The sequence below is a fragment of the Homo sapiens genome, chromosome 9, assembly GCF_000001405.40.
Source record: "Homo sapiens chromosome 9, GRCh38.p14 Primary Assembly".
In the NCBI taxonomy this organism is placed as follows: domain Eukaryota; kingdom Metazoa; phylum Chordata; class Mammalia; order Primates; family Hominidae; genus Homo; species Homo sapiens.
In genome coordinates, this window is record NC_000009.12 from 104893506 (window position 1) to 104912845 (window position 19340).

The 19340-nt window shown below is 43.0% G+C and overlaps 1 protein-coding gene across 1 annotated transcript in view, besides 1 other annotated feature; it reads right to left on the reverse strand.

Moving 5' to 3' along the window:
* Nucleotides 1–19340, reverse strand: part of ABCA1 (ATP binding cassette subfamily A member 1) — a 147150-nt gene that overhangs the window by 112500 nt on the left and 15310 nt on the right. Inside the window, exon 2 of the mRNA NM_005502.4 lies at nt 10109–10266. Coding sequence (NP_005493.2) covers nt 10109–10174 — 66 coding nt within the window. The 5' untranslated portion in view covers nt 10175–10266. The remainder of the gene's footprint in view (nt 1–10108; nt 10267–19340) is intronic.
* Nucleotides 9668–10580: an enhancer, noted in NCBI's record as "H3K4me1 hESC enhancer chr9:107665454-107666366 (GRCh37/hg19 assembly coordinates)". NCBI's record gives its function as "activates a minimal SCP1, AML or CMV promoter by ChIP-STARR-seq in naive H9 embryonic stem cells {active_cell/tissue: H9 hESC(naive)}" and the evidence as "EXISTENCE:reporter gene assay evidence [ECO:0000049][PMID:30033119]".

The following is a 19340-nucleotide window of genomic DNA, read 5'->3' on the forward strand; positions in this document are numbered from 1 at the left end:
ATGAGTAAGATAAATAGCCATCAGCCTTGAAGCTCTGAAACTACCATTTGTACTTTAAGGATAAATAGTAGCTACTGTTTATTTAGGGCCCAATATGTACAAGGCACATTTTATATTAATTACTTAATTTAATCCTCAGGACAACCCTGTGAGATAGGAAACATTATTGTCTTGATTTTATATGTAGCAAGGCTAAGGCTGGAGGAAGGGTAAATCACAGAGATAGTCAGTAGCGGGGTTGAGATGAGCAGCCAATTCTACCCAACTCAGGAGGCCACATGACATTCTATTTGACACCACGGGTGACTCAGGTAGGAAATGGCCCCACTAGGTGGAATGGTCTAGAAATATCAACAGGATCCAGAGAGGTAAAATTAATTCACAGCTTGTAGATTTATAATACTTACAGCCAATATTGGGCAGCTACTGTGTACTCAAGACGTTTTGTGTATCTCATCTCCAGTATTTAATTCATAATAACCCTGTGAGGTAGGTTGTATCATTACCGTTTTAGAAGTGAAGAAACTGAGGTTTGAACAAGTTACGAGCCATAAGAAACTGCACCAATGTTTGAACCCAGATCTACTGACACTTAAGTGTGTGCTTTTGTACCCATCATGCTGCCATCACAAAGCTATGTTTAGGACATATACCTTTTAAGATATGCCACTTAAAAGAAACCTAGCACTTGCCAGCCCTGCTGAGCACTGATCTGACCCAATTAATCAAGGCTTATGTTCCTGGATATCTCTGCAGCCCCCATATCTAGGATCCTGTAGGGCAGCAGATGCTCAAAATATGTTGGTTGACTGAAAAAAATGAATGGATCTTCCCCATGGCAACTGACAGCAAAGGGCAAACAAAAAATCTTACAAGCCATTTGGAGCAGCTGAAGCTGGTGAGTGTAAGCAGATCAGGAAAAGAGGTTAAAAAAAATTGATGATGATAATAATAATGAAAGGTCTTACTATGTACCAGGGTTGTGAGTGCTTTATACACATTAACTCATTTAATCATCAAACAATCCAATTAGTACTCTTGTTATACACATTTTACAGAAGAGGAAGCTGAGATTCAAAGAGTTAATACACTGCCCAATGGTCCAAGATTGGCAAATGGCAGAGCCAAGATTCAAAGCCACTCTGACTGAAGGGCTCCTTCTCTTCGCCATTATGGACCCCAACCTCCTTATGCACTTTGCCTTCACTTACCAGAGCATACAGACACCTGCTCTCTCAAAGCCCTTGCTGAGCTGGGAGACTAGCATGTATGAGTGAATTAAAGAGACTGTCTGCAAAGTTCACACCACCTGAGCCAGAGAACTCATGAGAGACAAAATTTAATCTTTGCCCTTTTATCTTGGACCTCTAAAATTCTTCCCATCATTGAACCTAGAACTCACCTTCCAAACCCAGGGGAATGTTCCAGGTATTTCTTTTCATAATAGCCTCCCTCTAGAAACCAAAGTTGACTTCTGCCAGGATATGCCATTATGGCTACACTCATTAATAAAATCAGATTTCTCCTCCTTCTCTAAGCTTAGCACTTTTCCTAAACATAAACCCTCATAAATAGCTTGGAAATGAAGTTGATCCTTTACCATTATAAATTCCTACAGAAAACTCTTCTAAATCTTGCTTTGGTGCCTACCCACCCAACCCCACACCTCCCCATGGGGTGGGAAGATGGGAAGAAACATTGTTTTTAAAAGGCGTTTCTCACCAAAGTCAAAGCTGCTCCAAGAGTACCGAAGCACCACTTTGCACTTCCCATCTTGCTATTTCAACATGGGGATAATATGAGCAGGCACTGCTAGAGCAGATTTTCTTGATAGTGACCCTACTGACATTTGGGGCCAGATAGGTGTTGTGAGAGACTCTCCTATGAATTCTACGAAGTTCAGCAGCATCCCTGACCTCAACCTCTAAATATCAGCACATACATTCCCAGGATTGTGACAACCAAAAATATCTCCAGATGTTATGTCCCTGGTGGAAGGGTGAGGGTGGGGTGGGGTAGGGGGATAACCGGCCCCGGTCGAGAACCACTGCTCTAGAGTTATTATGAGAATTAAATGTATTTCACATAGAAGGCTTAGCACAGAGTCTAGTACTTATCATCATGTTATTCAATATGCATCAAACCACTCTTGAATCATCATTCATAGTTATGCCAACATCTCCCACACTACAGATGTTCACTGTCCACTTGATTATTCATGCCTGACTTTTGCTGCTGGCTGCCGAAGTTCATAGACCACAATCCAGTCACTCTGTGAACCCATTTCCCTCCCTAGCCTGAGGACACAGTCACGGTGCTCTTAAATTCTTGAGATTTAGCCACGTTAATTCAAGGTTAGGGCAGCGCAAGGGCCATGTACAAAGAACAGAGAAAACTAGCAGAATAAAATTGGGCCTTAGGCAAGAGGCTTCTGAATCATGGTAGCCAAAATAATGCACTCCGCGCTGAAAAATGAAGTCGCTATTTCTTAGTATTGAGAGATTCTTGAGAATATAATGGGGGATAAAAAAAGGAAACAAGAAGAATAAACATCAGAAAGGAAGAGATGAAAATATCCTTTCTGTTTCTGGCATGGTCGTAAATCTAAGAGAACTCACAAAGTTAACTAAAAAGCTGCAAATGATTTGCAAGTATGGGTAAGTTAATCAGAACCAAGGTAAATTCTCCTAAATAATAGCATTGCTATTAGTCTCTGAAAACCAGTTAAATTAATATAATGTGGGGAAAAGAGAATACTATCCACAGTGAGAATGGACACATAAACAAAAAAACCTAGGCATTAACTTAGCCAAACATGTGCTTCTTACATAAAAGAAAACCACAGAACTGTAGTAGGATAAATAAAGGAAGATGAGAATTAAGGAGAGCTAAACTCTGCTTCTTCATGAGTTCATTTAATATCCAAATTTCCCAAGCTAATTTATAGATTTAACACAACTGAACTTAAAATAGCGATAGGGTACTTTTTTGAGCTTGATAAGGTAATAACATTCAATGGGGAAAAAACAGATAAAAATATCAAAAGATATTCTGAGAGGCAAAAAGGTAAGTGGGGGACAATGAGCTCCCCCATATATCAGAATGTTCATCAAATTCAGGGTACATTCTGGGCTCTATCAGCACCAAAACTAAAACTACATATCAAATGACCAAATGAATAACTCCAAAATTGCTCCCTACACATCTTTTTTTTTTTTTTTTTTTTTTTTTTTTTTTTTTTTTCAGACAGAGTTTCACTCTGTTGCCCAGGCTGGAGTACAGTAGTATGGTCATAGCTCACTGCAGCCTTGACCACCTGGACTCAAGCAATTCTCCTACCTCAGCCTTCCAAGTAGCTGGGACTCCAGGCAAGTACCACCATGCCTGACTAATTTCCTTATTTTTATAGAGATGGAGTCTTGCTATGCTGCCCAGGCTGGTGTTGAACTCCTAGTCTCAAGCAATCCCCCCACCTCAGCCTCCCAAAGTGCTGGGAATACAGGCATGAGCCACCATATCCAGGTTTTAATAAATGTCCCAAAAATAACTAGAAAAGGAATCACTATTTAATCAAGTGATTATTTATTAAATAATCACTGGGATGACATGATATGAATGTGAAGAAAAATTAATTTTAGACCCATCCCTAACAGCATACATGCCAATGAGACCTGGGAAAACTAAAGTGAAATCTTAAGGATCACATCAGAAAAATGCTAGAGAGGGGAAATGATTTTTAAAACCAGGCCTGCCTTCCCTGAACTACAAAGTCTCATGCATTGATGGTGGCTATTTAAATTGGTTGGATCCTCTGGAAAGACATCTGATCAGACACTTCAAGGGCCATTTCCCTTCAACCTAGTAATCCTGTTCCTCAGATTTTGGCCTACAGAAATAATACAAAAATAATAAAAGATTAAATGTATAGAATCTTTATAGTAATTTATTTGTAACAGCACACATGGAACAATCTAAATGTTGGCAACAGGGTTTGAACTTATAAAAACTGTGTTAATGGATTACTGCACAGCTATCAGGAATGTCAAAGGCATCATCCCACAGTAGATTTGGAGCCAAAAGATCCCAGCCCTCCTCTTAGCAACTTTTTATTTTTTGAGACAGAGTCTCGCTCTGTCACCCAGGCAGGAGTACAGTGGTGCAATCTTGGCTCACTGCAACTTCCACCTGCCAGGTTCAAGCAAATTCTCCTGCCTCACCCTCCCAAATAGCTGGGATTACAGGCAAGTGCTACCACGCCTGGCTAATTTTTGTATTTTTAGTAGAGATGGGTGTCACCACATTGACCAGGCTGGTCTCAAATTCCTGGCCTCAAGTGATCCGCCCACCTTGGTCTCCCAAAGTGCTGGAATTATAGGTGTGAGCCACCATGCCCGGCCATTAACTTATTAACAATACTCTCTTCATCTGTGAAACAGAAATTGCAACGCATACACCTCAGAATTGCTGTGAGAATCAAGAAAGTAATGGATATCAAAGTATTACTTTCAAAACTATAAAACACAGCCTACACATCAGAAATCATTATTCTAAATCAGAAGATGATTTAGAAATATGTGAACACGCACACTAAATAATGTTAAATGAAAGAAGAAAACAGCATAAAATGGTCCATGTATATGTAATGATTACAATTGCTTTCTTGGGCCTTTGTCATTCAAGTTCCCTCTATCCCAAGAGTCACCAGACAATGTGGCCTGACTACCTCAGGGAATCCTCTTGCACATAAAATAAAATTAAATTCTCAGGGGGCACTGTGGGTCACGCCTGTAATCCCAGCACTTTGGGAAGCCGAGGTAGGAGGATCACAAGGTCAGGAGTTTCAGACCAGCCTGGCCAATATGGTGAAACCGCATCTCTATAAAAATACAAAAATTAGCTGGGCATGGTGGTGGGCGTCTGTAATCCCAGCTACTAGGAGGCTGAGGCAGGAGAATCGCTTGAAACCAGGAGGCAAAAGTTGCAGTGAGCCGAGATTGCTCCACTGCACTCCAGCCTGGGCGACAGAACTAGACTCCGTCTTGAAAAATAAATAAATAAATAAATAAATAAATAAATAAATAAATAAATAAATATTAAATTAAATTCTCCTTCCCCAGGAGAATTGGCCCTAAATGATCTGGTCATGTCTACTACCAACTCATCCCCCGCCAGTCTTATTCACTCCACCAGTGCCACTGGCTTTCTTCTGTTCCCTGACCTAGGGGACAGGCACCCCCAGTCTCTCTGCCTGGAATGGATTTCCCTATCTCTAAGCCTCTGATCTTTGCCTGGCTAACCATTGCTTGAACTTCAGGGCTCTCAGCTTTAATGTGACAACCTGTCAATCTAAATGAAATCCCTACCCACACCTGCTAGTATCTAACACCAGTACCATAGTTTGCCGGATTTTTTCCTTCATAATCCTCATCACAGTTGATAGTTATATTTTTATTTGTGTGATGATATGTTTCACATCTGCTGGCCTCACTGAACTGTAAGCTCTACGAAAGCAGTACTCATGCCCAGCTGCTTCACCACTATATACCCAGCTAACCATACCACAAGTAATAGATGCTTAATAGATATTTATCCAAATGAAACAATAAATGTCTATTTGTTTTAACTTTCTTCATTCCGTAGAAGAGAAAACTAAAGCTCTGGAGAAAGGAGTTTTCCTAGGCCACTGAGGCAGATGGTGGCCAAGCTGGGATTGGAATCATGACCACTGCTGCCGGCCCAGGAGTAAGGACAGGGAAGAAATGTGTCAGGTGAAACTAGAAGTGGGGAAAGGATGCAGAGAGTTTCCATCTACTCTGTAAAATTCTCTAAAAGCTCATAAATGAGGAGTTTTAATTTTTGGATAGTTCATTCTTTTTCATTAAAGAATGCCCAAATAGTGGTACTCTGGCTGGGTGCAGTGGCTCATGCCTGTAATCCCAGCAGATTGGAAGGCTGAGGTGGGTGGATCACTTGAGGTCAGGAGTTCAAGACCAGCCTGGCCAACATGCTAAAACCATGTCTCTACTAAAAATACAAAAATTAGCCAGGCGTGGTGCTGTGTGCCCATAATCCCAGCTACCCGGGAGGCTGAGGCATGACAATTGCTTGATCCCGGGAGGCAGAGGTTGCGGCGAGCTGAGATCATACCACTGCACTCCAGCCTGGGCAATAGAGTGAGACTCAGTTTAAAAAAAAAAAAATCACAATTAACTATTTTCCCAGCCACATGACTAGTCAGATCTATTTGAGAAAATTAATAATAAAGGCAAAAGAAAAGAGGCCATGTGGCCACCCTCACTTTGTCCAGTTTGTTCCATGGGGACCTTGGCCTCTGGATCAGCCTAAAACCAGATGAGGATCGTGAAAGCTCTGAAGTTCTCTTCCCCTTCCTGTCCCCAGCCCTGTTTGTACTGAATACCTGCCACCCACACAAGTTAACTGTTACTTTGGACCCAAACTGAGCTTTGCACCCAACTTTCACAACTCAATTCAATTTATTCTTTGCCTAACAGAAACAGCGGAAAACTAACCCTGGCTGATGGTCCCCCCTCAGTCTGCACAATGGGGGTACAGGAGAGGCAGGGGACCCAGGAGTTACCAGCAAACCAGGACACAGAATGAAAAGGCAAGCACTGCCTTTCAACAGGGTTGCTCTGGGGTATACCATTCAGCTCCAGGCTGAACATAGCGTTTCTAGTCTTCCTGGCGGCAGCACACAGGCTTTATGTATGCTTTCTATTCTTCCTAGTGCAAGGGAGCCTCCTCAAGACCTGCAAACTAATGGGCCTTAAGACATTTCCCACTCATTCAGTAAATACTTACTAAGCATGTCCCAAGGGCCAGGCTCTGTGCTGGGCTCTGAGGCCAAGCGTATACACTCCAGGATCTCAGGAGACAGGAACTGTGCAATGAACATCCATACGCTGCAGGCAACAGCTATCATGGACTGCTAACTTCTTCCCCTACCTAATGGGCAGGGCTGGTTCTCACTATGTGAGCTAACAAGTGGCCCCAAAACCCTTAAGAGGTTCTGACGTCTAAACAATATAATCTAGAAATCTAAGCCAGGTGGATTGGAAAGTAGCTACCAGTCAGAACTTGAGATTCAGAGACATAGAAGCTTTAGTATACACAGAGAGCAAAGCAAAAAAGGGTCTGCAACTGTAGGGCCACCAGGAGACTGGTTCTGGTGCTACTTTCCTGACTGACCAACTCTGGGCACCTGTGCCCCCCTGAGCCCCAGTTCTGTCAGCTGTACAAGATGCAAGCCAGATCTTTCCAACTCTAACAATCTAAGCATCAGCAACCTGAAATAAATCACTTTTCTTTCTGATTCAGCAAAATATACTTCCTTTAGAAATCAGGAAGAGAGTTAAGGAAAACAGGTTAGCAGGCAGTGGTATAACAACTTAAGCCCCTTTGTGTCAGGGTGTTGCATCCCACTTCCTTCTTTAAAAAGAACTCTGCCACAAGGCTACAAACTGCCTTTGGCTAAACCTGCCTATCTCTCTAATCCTAACACTTTTAAACCCATCTGCAATACCAAGCAAGAAGCAACAAGACCAGTGGAGTCTGGCCCAATTTGAATGACCCAACCCCACATCCTGTTGCAGGATTCCTTCCCTGGCTAAGCACGGAAAACCTTTTCCCTGCCCTTTCTTCTAACTTCAAGCTGCTAAGCAGCTGCAAAAAAATAAAAAATAAAAATAGTTTGGAGGAGGGAAGAAAAGTCACTGTGATGGGACAGAATGAGGCTCGGCCCTAGTCCTGGGGATCTCAGCTTCTGGTTGCAGCTCAGTTGCTGGCTGGGTGACCTCAAGAAATCCCTTCCCTGCTTTGTACCTCAGCTTTCTCATCCGTAAAATAAGAGGTTCAGACTAGACTACCCCAGAGCCATAGCCCCCCTTTCATTGCCAACATGATATGATTCTTCCCACTACTCACTAATGGACACACAACATGGATAAACCATGGCGGAGACAATTTCCCAGCAAGTGGGCCCCCTCTACCAGGATAAGAAGGGGCAGGAGCCCTGGATCACACTGTAGCAAAGGAATAAGAGTAAGGACGGACATAGAGGACTGGAACACCAAGACCTGGGGATAACCACGGGAGGCAGGGAGAAAGGCAAGGAAGGAGTCAGAAACTTCAATATTCTCAGATGGAGAATAGGCAAAATAATGACACCACTGAAAAGCGATTAGGCACATTGAGTTAGAGTGCCAGCTCCAAAGTCAGATTATCTGGATTTGAACCCTACCTGTGCTCCTTGTTAGTGGTGTGGACCTCAGACAAGTTACTTAACCTCTCTGAGTAGCACGTTCCCCAGCTACAACATGTGGAAATAACAGTACATCGCGGGGCCTTAAAAGGAATAAATCTAGTTAATAATGCCTAATCAGTTAGTGCCTCACACATGGAAGCTCATTCTAAGTGTTTGCTTTTATTTTATTAATATAATATTATCTATTATACTTTACAATTATTATTAAAACAGATAGGATCCACAGATTCCAGTCCCTGTTCTCTCACTAGAGACCTCAGAATTCAGGTTCCCCATTTGTAACATGAGAGGCTGAACACAATCAGTTTTTCTCAAAGGAAGATCTGTATACATATTGCTGAGGGATTATATTTAAGTTCTCTAAGAGGATTTTAAACACTTTGTTTTCATTTCAACAGTCATCTAAACAAAGTCTAATAAACACATATGGATTTTTTAAATGCTTACTTTAAAGCCAAGTTCTGGCACAAGATTTCAAAGCCCAAGTTTATATTTGTGTTTATGATTGTGTTGGCACCAGTATAATTGTAGCAAACTCATGAGGATGGAACAGGTGCCATCAAATTAAGGTCATACAAGTAGAAAAATGGGTGGAGAATTCAATCATTAGCACATGATAATATAGACTGGCCAAACTCAAAATGATCAGCATGATAGCATTTACTGCCATGCAACTTATAATTTGGTTTCAGTTGAACAACAGCTGCCTCACCACATTTAAGGTATTAATTTGAATGGTATTGATTTTGCAATTTTGGCTGCACTTAATTTGTAAATATGTATGGGTCATATAGTTGTATAATAACAGCCTATAAGAAGTTTATACCTACTTTTACTTCCTAATATTTAAGTAACACTATAATAAAAAAGGAAATTTAGTGAACAAAAGGATGCTTTGACACTTTTGTTCTTTTACAGACAGTGCAAGCATTATTCTAGTTTGAGGAAAACTGAATGAAATTCTCTCCAAAGTCCCTTATAGCCCTTTGAATCTCAGAAAGATGATCATTTTGATTACAGACATGTTAAGCTACATTAAGACAGCCAAGTGGGGATACTGGCTTAGAATCCAGGAAAAAAAAATAAAGGCAGAACAGGAACAAGAGACTTAGAAACTAACTACAGAGAAATGCATCCTAGAGATGGGATCTCTAAGGAAGGGTGTTCAGAGATAGAGAGACAAAGAGCTGACGTCTGAGTTTCAGGGAGTTCACTCTGCTCTACAGCCCTCACATCCCTCTGTGGAAGAGTTCCATTCACCTGCGCATTAAAGATGATCTCCAGATTACTCAAAGCATTATTGGCCCATCTGGGAAGTGAATGGCTTAGAACCCTCTGCAGAAATAAAACAAGTCTCAGTTATTATATTCCTCCAGGCCTGAAGGAAAGAATCCAGATTGACACCAAGATACCCAGTATTGATCTCTAAGAGTGGGGCCACTAACTCACTTCACCCACAGCTTCCAGAAATACAGGGGCCCATTAGGGGCTTTTGGAGAGCCAGGTGGCTCCCAGGGCTGCAGCAAAAGGAAAAAGTGGGGTGCTCAGGGGCGATTCGGAGCCAGGTCCTAGGGATCAGAACTCATGCCTGGGCAGTAGCACAAACCAAAGCTACTATTTCTACCTGGCTGCAAATCTGCCCTCTATGATAAGCCACATGCCATATCCGGACCACACAGTCCTGTGTCCATAAGAGCCAGATTCCATCAATCCCTGTGTGAAAACCAACACAGCTTCCTTCCCTCCCTCCCTCCTCCAATCCCCAACTCAAAACCACAAAGAAAAAATGAGAGAACCCCCCGCTGCTGAAAAACCCAAGCTTACTGTTTGTCTTCTTCTGAAAGTGAGGTTCTTCCACAGCAGCAACCTCAGCTGAGGCCAACAAGCCATGTTCCCTCAGCCAGCACCCCCAGCGTGTGGCTCGGGAGCCCTGGAAGGCAGCGGCCAGAGCTCACAGCAGGGACGCCGTGGCTGGTCATTAACTGAAAGATAAAGCAGGAGGGGAAACAGCCATCAGTTATTGCTGCAAAGCCATACACCAATGAGGACTGCTAATCCAGCCCTCTCAGCTGAGACCTCCAACACACAGCTCTGCATCATGACTGCTTCTCAATGGATCATGAGTCACCAGCTCCCAGCCTCTGGGTTCACCCACAAAGAGGGACTCGGGAGGTGTTCCGACAGCAGGCTAGGAGCTACGTGTTATGGTCCTAATCATTTTAGTTCTATAGATGTTATCATCTGGGAATGAAGAATGCATTTCTGAAAATAGACCTCTCTCAGGTGGCCAAAAACACTGAGGATGGAAATGGCATACTGGAATCCCAGAGACCTACCTCTCTTTTCTAAGAAAATGCCTCCCCTTACATACAAAGTCAGCAGCATTTGTAAATTTTGCCTCAAGCCTGGAGTGACTTATACTATTCCCTGAACTTCCTTACATACTAATTTTCAGTGGGTTATACAACTGAGTCCTTCAAATGATAAAAAGCACCATCGGCCAGGCGTGGTGGCTCAAGCCTATAATCCCAGCACTTTGGGAGGCCGAGGCAGGCGGATCACGAGGTCAAGAAATCGAGACCATCCTAGCCAATACGGTGAAACCCCGTCTCTACTAAAAATACAAAAATTAGCTGGGCATGGTGGCAGGCACCTGTAGTCCCAGCTACTTGGGAGGCTGAGGCAGGAGAATCGCTGAACCTGGCAGGCGGAGGTGCAGTGAGCCAAGATTGTGCCACTACACTCCAGCATGGCGACAGAGCGAGACTCTGTCTCAAAAAAAAAAAAAAAAAGCACCATCAATAAAGCAGTTTCCTAATCTGGAAAACCACAACGTGCCTTAGATGAGTGTGAGTAAACACCAAGAAAATGCTACCGACACCTGGCTCTCAGGTAATGAGGACAACCCTAGCGCTGTGTCTCTGGAAAGAAAACAGCATCCCATGGAGAAACAAGTCTGCTATGGCAGGCTCAGGGCATCAACTGTGAAACCGACAAACAAGCTCCCATGGTCAGCACATATGCACACTTCTGGCCTTGTTCCACCTGCACCTGAACACACCGCCCCCCTACTCCGTTGGGTGTCACAGGTGCCTCCTTGGAGGACTGTTTGCCATGCTAGGGCAAGAAGGTCTTCTCGTGAACAAGGGATACTACATTCTGTGTATCCCAGCCACCCATCCAGCAGTTACCCTTATTTAATGCTGGAATAGTCCCAAGTAGTTATATTAAAGTTAAAGCTGGGGAGGGGGCAGAAGATGAAAAATGGAAGGGAGGACACACAGGTGAAAATTCGGCCCTGCTGGCACTTGGTAGCCATGAACTCTCCTAGCTGTGCTTATGAAATGGCTCAGTGAATCACTGTGGCCTCTAGAGGAGTAGGGGCAAGGGTAGGGTGGGACACTGGGCATGAGGAACAAGGAGCAGAAGGAACTAAGAATGCAGTAGCGAGGTATGGATACAAAACCAAGCGCTAGACTAGAAATCTGTGAGTCCAAATGAGATCTCCATGCCAAGGTCAGTCTCTAGTAGAACAATACCCTTTTATCTACCACCCAACAAGGACTTGGATTAAAACTTCTAGAAAAGTCAAGAGATTGGAGGAAATTGCAGTGTCTGAGAAGAAAAGACAGCCTACCACTATGTATTCCAATTCATTCATTGACAGTCCAATAAATCAAGAAATTCTCTGAAATAGTCAAGCCTTAGGACCTATTTCTTTTCCTTACCATTTGCTCAGCAAACTTCTAGAAGGACACAGGCCTCCAAAGTTTCTTACTCCAAAAAGAGGAAGAGTTAAACCAGCACTGCATCAGTTTGTTCAAAGATGACAACTGGCAGCACAGCACTGGCAACCAGAGCAGCATTGTGAGACACATGCTTGTCATCCCAAATTGTTTTCTAAGTGGCTCAGGACAGAGCTTGCATTCCAGAGACACTGAAATAAATAATTAGCTAGATTTTTCTCATACAGAAGCTGCTCTCCAGGAATCAGTTCGTTGATTTAGAAGCTACATGAATCTCTTGAAATCCCCAAGGTAACAATGAGGAGGGGACAATTAAAAAAGGAAAACTATCAGAAAGAGCCCAGGCATGAATTAGCCCCGGCTTCCCAACTATGTGCCCCTGGCCAAGGCTTTATGCTCTCTAAGCATCAATTTCCTCATGGTAAAATAAGGATGACAATACTTACCTTGTATGGTGTTCAACTGTGTTCTACTGTGGATTCAACGAGATAATATAAATAATTTCCCAACACAGTACATGGCTTAATTTAAGTGCCAAAGCAATGTGAGTTCCCTTCTCCCCATTTATCTTTCTTCATTCCAACAATATCCTCTAGCTGAGAAATGGTTATATCCTGTCCAAACAGGACGTTCCATTATTTCTAGCAAATCCATTGTGGGTTTCTGGAAAGATAGGAGGGGCAAAGCAGTAAGGATGAAATCTTAATAGCCTAGTGTTGCAGTACCCAGAGCCAAACCCAAATATAGAATATCACCTCCCCTAAACCCTGAGTGGAAAAGCTCAAAGGAAGAGAAGACACACCTCTACACAACGTTCATGAGAAGAAGGGAAGGATGAGTTTTCTTGGACAGCATTTTCTTGGAAGTAAAGTGTCTGGGTTTCAAGAAAAAGGTTCTGACTCCAAGGACTCTCCAGGAAGCACATGGAGAAGGTTGCTAAGAAGTAGCATAGAGCCACAGTAGAAAGTTCTACCGTGGCTTTGCTGGGCACACTTAGGCAAGCTTCCTGCTCCAATTCCTCCCACCCACCTTGGCACTGACCTGGCCTCCTGCACAATTTGCTCCCCCAACTCAGAACACAATGATCAATACTGGGAGCAATTCTGTCCTAAGAGGAGAGTTTGGCAATGCCCGGCCCCTTCTGCTCAGGTAACTGAAGCCAAAGGGACATTTCCACATCAGTTTTCCAAGTTAGTGAACAAACAAACCAAAATCAAAAAAAAAAAAAAAAAAGATATAAAAGAGACAGTACTATGTACTAGATTTCTCAATGTTTCAAATGCAGTACACTCACTTCTGCCCTCATACACATTTCCAGTTACTGGCTGGAAAGGATCCCACTTCACAGTCATCCCAGTCAATAGGCCACTCTGATCCTGCTCCTAGATGACCGCAACTGCCACCTCACTGGTCTCCCAACCATTTGTCACAGAGCACCCAAAGTTACTCAGCTAGACCAAATATCTGAACATGCCTCTCCCCGACTTAAAACCTTTTGCCAGCTCCTCAGCACCTGAACATAGAGTCCAGTGCTCACCAAGGTCTACCTGGCCTCCCTTCTGTGACTCCAGCCTACTCTCTTGCCACTCCCCACCTGCTAAGCAATGCCCTGGAGATGTGTATACAGGCTCAGAATATGCTGCACGCTCTCCTACCACTGGGACTTCACTGGTGAGTTCTCTTGTCCTAAGACACTTTTTCAAGCACTGCTAGCCTGGCTAATGCCTAGGTCTCAAACTTAGGTCTCCACTTCTTCAATGTCCTTTCCTGATATCCTCCCCTGCAACTGACACGTGGGTTCAGAGCCCTTCCTACGTGCTCCCTAGGAAGACTTGGCTGGGAAAGAGGATTTCTACCTTCTGAGTCAGAGCAGAGACCATTTCTGTTTCCTTCATCCCTGTTTTCCTTAGTATGCAAAAGGGTCCTGGCTTGTCGTAAGCACTTGGGGATGTCTGCTTAATTAATTAAGAGACGGATAGGAGAAATAGGGTGTCAGAATTCAAGGGTGGCAGCACTCCTGGACCTGTGGTAACTCATTTCTCAAGCCTGATTAAATGATTTGGGCAAATTATCCCCAAAGAGGGAGCTCTGTGTTCAGCAGCTTCTACCATATGCTTGAAAGTCACAAAGGACTGCTGAGCTTCCCAGGTGACTCCTGGGACATCCTGAAAAACGTAATAGAATCTAAGTCTGTTTCCCATAACTGCCAGCTTTAGCTAAGGACTGGGCAGCCTCCCAAGGCCAGCAGGGCCATGCAGTCGACTTCCCGCCCGTCCTCACCCTCAAGCCCGAGGCGTACGCTCTCTGGGTCTCATCAGTCACCCAAGTGGATCACTCCTTGCCAAAATGTGACAATCTCCACACCTCAGCCTTGTTTCATACAGTTTGGGCATGGCAGAAGTGACTGCTGGAAACCTTTGGCCAATTTTTTAAGGAAATTTTAACTGCAAATGCCACTGATATTTTGAAGTTATTAATATCTACAGAATACAACAGACTGCTAAATTAAAACCTTCCCAAATAAGCAGAAACACTCATCATTAGCTGCAGAGAAATGCAAATTAAAACCACAATGAGATATCATTACATACCCACTAAATTAAATATTAAAAGTGCTAGCATGTGTATGGAGACACTGGGACTCAATACACTGTGGAATTGTAAAATGGAAGAGCCACTTTGGAAAATAGTTTGACAGTTTCTGCTAAGGTTATACAGTACTATTATATGACCCAGTCATCCCATCCTAGGTATTTGTGAATATTTATAGAAGCCTTATACAGAATAGCCAAAAACTGGAAACAATTAGTTGTCGAAAAGACCATCAACTGGTGAATAAATAAAACTGGGGCTGGGCACAGTGGCTCATGCCTGTAATCCTAGCACTTTGGGAGCCAGAGGTGGGCGGATCACCTGAGGTCAAGAGTTTGAGATCAGCCTGGCCAACATGGTGAAACCCCATCTCTACTAAAAATATAAAAATTAGTTGGGCGTGGCGGTGGGTGCCTGTAATCCCAGCTACTCAGGAGGCAGGAGAATTGCTTGAACCTGGGAGGCGGAGGTTGCAGTGAGCTGAGATCGCGCTACCGCACTCCAGCCTGGGTGACAGAGTGAGACACCTCCTCATAAATAAATATATAAATAAAACTGGGACACTTACTCAGCCATAAAAAGGAATAAGCTACTGTTACATGCGACAACCTGGATGAATCCCAAAAGCCTAATGCTAAGAAAAATAAGCCAGACACAAAAAACTACATACTGCATGATTCCATTTATATGACATTCTGGAAAAGGTGAAATGAAGGGGACAGAAATCACTGCAGTGGTGACCAGTGGTCATGGGTGGAGGGGACGACAGACTGAAAAGGAGCATGGCAGTGGTAGATACACATGTGTATCCATTTGTCAAAACTCATCATACTTTTGTAAAGGGGAAGTCTTACTGTGGTAAATTACACATCAATAAATCTGAACCAAATAAACTGCCTTCTATTATCATAATTAACATACCTCACAAGTCATAACTTGGAAGACCTAAGAACTGGATAGTGTAAAGCCTGATTATTGTGTGATCGCCTTGGAAGAGGAATAGTAGATAAATATTCATTACCACTTATAAATTCCACAAACAACTGCAGCCTTAACTCTGCAAGGTGCCCATGAGCCACAACAAATATTTATCGAGTGCCTATCACATGCCAGGTGTGTTCCATACCTTAGAGATTCAGTGGTGAACAACAGAAGCAAAGTTCCTTCATTCATGGGGCTCCTATTCTACCAGGGATGGGAAACAGACAAATAATAGTGGGTTGTTCAAACAGTGGGTGGTGGTGGTAGGATTGACGAAGAAAAATAAAGCAGAGTAAGGGGACAGAGAGTAACGGGGTGGAAGTTATTCCTTTCTGATGAAGCATCTTTAGGACAATGAACTGAGAGAGTGGACCATATGCTACCCACAAAGGGGTGGCTTAAATGACAGCTGGGATTATAAAATTACTTTTACTTTTCCCTAAACCAAAACCTGGAATACCAGACAGCAGACAGATTCAGTGATGCTGGCAAAAGAAATACACACACACACACACACACACACACACACACACACACACACACACATTCACAGGAAGCTGGCTGTGAAGGGGGAAATGATGACCCTAGTTAGCACCTGGCACGTGTTCTCCCACCTCTTCCTCACCAAAACATTGTGCCCTTTTGAACTTGACATGCACATTTCCAGGAGAGATGAGAGATGAGAATTATAAAGAAGAAGAAAAGGGGAGAGAGGATGACACTAAAAAGACAAGATAGGAGGATTTTTCCCCATTTGGCATAGCCAAAAGAAAAACAGGAACTCCTTCCCGTGACTGCCCTCTACTCTTCTACAGCACTAAATCTGTCTATGGAAACACAGTGAGGAAAGAAAGTGCATGTATCTGTACAGCTACCAGAAGCTGTTTGCTTGTGCAGTAACAAATGGGCTGGCTGGTCTTTTTCCTTCCCGCAAGAACACTGCCAACACATGAGCTTTAGTGCTGGGCTCCTATCGAAGGGTGACAGTCAGCCCTCATGCCTGAGCCAGGGCAGGTTCCAGAAGAGGGAAGTCTCCAAGCAGGGATCATACAAGTGTCAACATCTCACTGGGACAGAGAAATTGGCCCCTCTGGGTGGAAGAGGAGAGGCTTCCACAAAGTCATGCTCCATTTGACTGTCGTATTAGTAGATAAAATCTCTTGGAATGTTGAAGACTCATTCCCACTACACCCCTGCTGCAATCTTATAGACAGAGAAGCTGAGGCCTCCCCCAAAGCAAGTGACTTGCCTAGCATTAGAGCTGGTTTCTCAAGAAATAACTTTTTCAACAACTCTTATATGCCCCTTCCCACTTAGCTATTTCTCCTATGATTTTGTTTGTTGTTCTGAATGCATTTCTCAGAGTTCTATCCAAATAGTTCACATACCCAAAATGTACAGATAGCAACTAATTCTCCTCTTTCAAAAACAGTGATTATATGACAGCTATTTCATTAAACCTTAAACAAACAAGAGAGTATGTGTGTGTGTGTATGTGCGTGTATTCCACTTTGTTCAACAAACTTCCAAAAAGTTACCAGAAGTGAGATGGAAGTTGAAATTTCCAACAACAGCTATCAATATCTCTCTTTTTTATTACTTTATTTTATTTTTTAGATGTAATCTCACTCTGGTGCCCAGGTTGGAGTGCAGTGGTGTGATCTCAGCTCACTGCAACCTCTGCCTCCCAGGTTCAAGTGATTCTCCTGCCTCAGCCTCCGGAGTAGCTGGGATTACAGGTGCCCACCACCAAGCCCAGCTAACTTTTTTGTATTTTTAATAGAGACAGGGTTTCAACATGTTGGCCAGGCTGGTTTCAAACTCTTGACCTCAAGTGATCTACCTGCCTCAGCCTCCCAAAGTAATGGGATTGCAAGTGTGAGCTACCATGCCCGGCCTCAGTATCTCTCTTGATGAGGTTGCTTCTAGATGTCTTTTTCGTAATTGAGGTATAATAGACAAATAAAAATGTTATATATTTACAGTGTTCTAGATGTCTTATATCAAAAACAGCTTGCCAGTAAACTACAAAGCAGGAGGTGGATTTAACTACATCAGATATGAACTGAAAATACATTGGTGCCAAAGCTCTGATTGCCTATTCATGAGATGTTGACACAAAAGCAAGAATCACAGATATGACTCATGTGCCTCATCTCCAGAGAGATGCACAGGGTCCTATAATATTAGGACATGAAACTTCTAAGCCCAACAGAACATGCTTGCTTTGGAAAAGGTCTGTTCTCTAATTGCCTCTCTGATCATGTGTCTTTGGATCGGTAGCCACGTTCAGGGACAAGCCTAACAAGGTTACTGAAGGCCAAGACACCTGGAAAGAACAGGTTCACTGCACCCATGATTAAAGACAGACAGATCGTGGCTGCTGTGGGGGTGGGAGGGGATATTGAGAGTCATCCTGCAATTTCTCCCAGGCTGACCCATCAGCTTAATTGAGCCTGAAGCTAATCTGACTGCCTCAGTTTAACTTTTCTGGCCTCCAGATGCTACTGGGCCCTCTATCCTTAAGGGTATCCTTGCTAGGACAGCCTTAAATTATACCTCCTCACACTCCTGAAACATTCCATAAACCACAGTTCCAGGGAAACTACCTTGAGTTAGGGGGCCTTGCAGAAGGGTCATGGGCTGGTACTCCCCCCTGAAACTGTGTTCCTATTTTTAAAGGCAACATTTTAATAGTCAAATTTGAGAAGCCAAAAGGGGTAAGAAATCCTCCAAGGTAAAAGTCAAGGATGAAATGAAGTTATCCAATCATTCCAGAGGAATTCTATCATTCTATAAGAGGTTCTGCTATCACACTGTCCGTTTAAAAATATATAGATCCAGTGAATTTTATTAATTCCAATAATCTGTAACTTGGGTGCAGTTTTTAAAGTACCAAATGCATCACACTTACTTGATTGTTAGTTACAATAAGATAATAGGTAACTGTACTTCCTTCTTTCACTTGAATACACATCCAATTTCCTAGACAAAATTATTGCTAATAGCTAATTTTCAAAATAAGGGCTATGAATTTGTAAAAACTGAAACAAGAAATCTATGAATATTGTACAAATCTATAACTAGCTTTTGAGAAGCATAATTCTTCATGTTGTCAACAATATAATTTTACAGGAGATCCTGACCGGGTGTGGCGGCTCATGCCTGTAATCCTAACACCTTGGGAGGCTGAGGCAGCAGGATCGCTTGAGCCCAGGAGTTTGAGGCTGCAGTGAGTTATGATCATGCCACCATACTCCAACCTGGGCTACAGTGCAAGACCCTGTCTCAAAAATAAACAAACAAATAAATAAGGAGATCCTAAAGGTTTAACTCCATCTATATCATGTCACTGATACTTGGACAACCAAAGATCCTATTTATCACCCTCAACATTCCCGTTGCCACCAGCTAAATGGTCTCAGGGCTTCTAAACCTCACAAGAGCCAGGATTTCTGAAAGCAGATCTGTCCTGTACCCCAAGTCCTTGTTTCATCACTATAGAACTACGAAGAAACTCTAACAAAATGTTAGAGATAGCCTCTCTTCCCCTGCTGATTTCCACTAAGCAAACACCAAGCAACCTTCAAAGGAAGACTTCAGCAAACAATACCACTATTTGCCTTTTCCCTGGTCGGGGGGTATGTAGCACATAGAAAAAAAGAATCTTTCCTCTAGAAAAGAAATCAACCTTTCAACATTCTATGTCATAGAAAAAAAATCAATTTTTTTCAGTC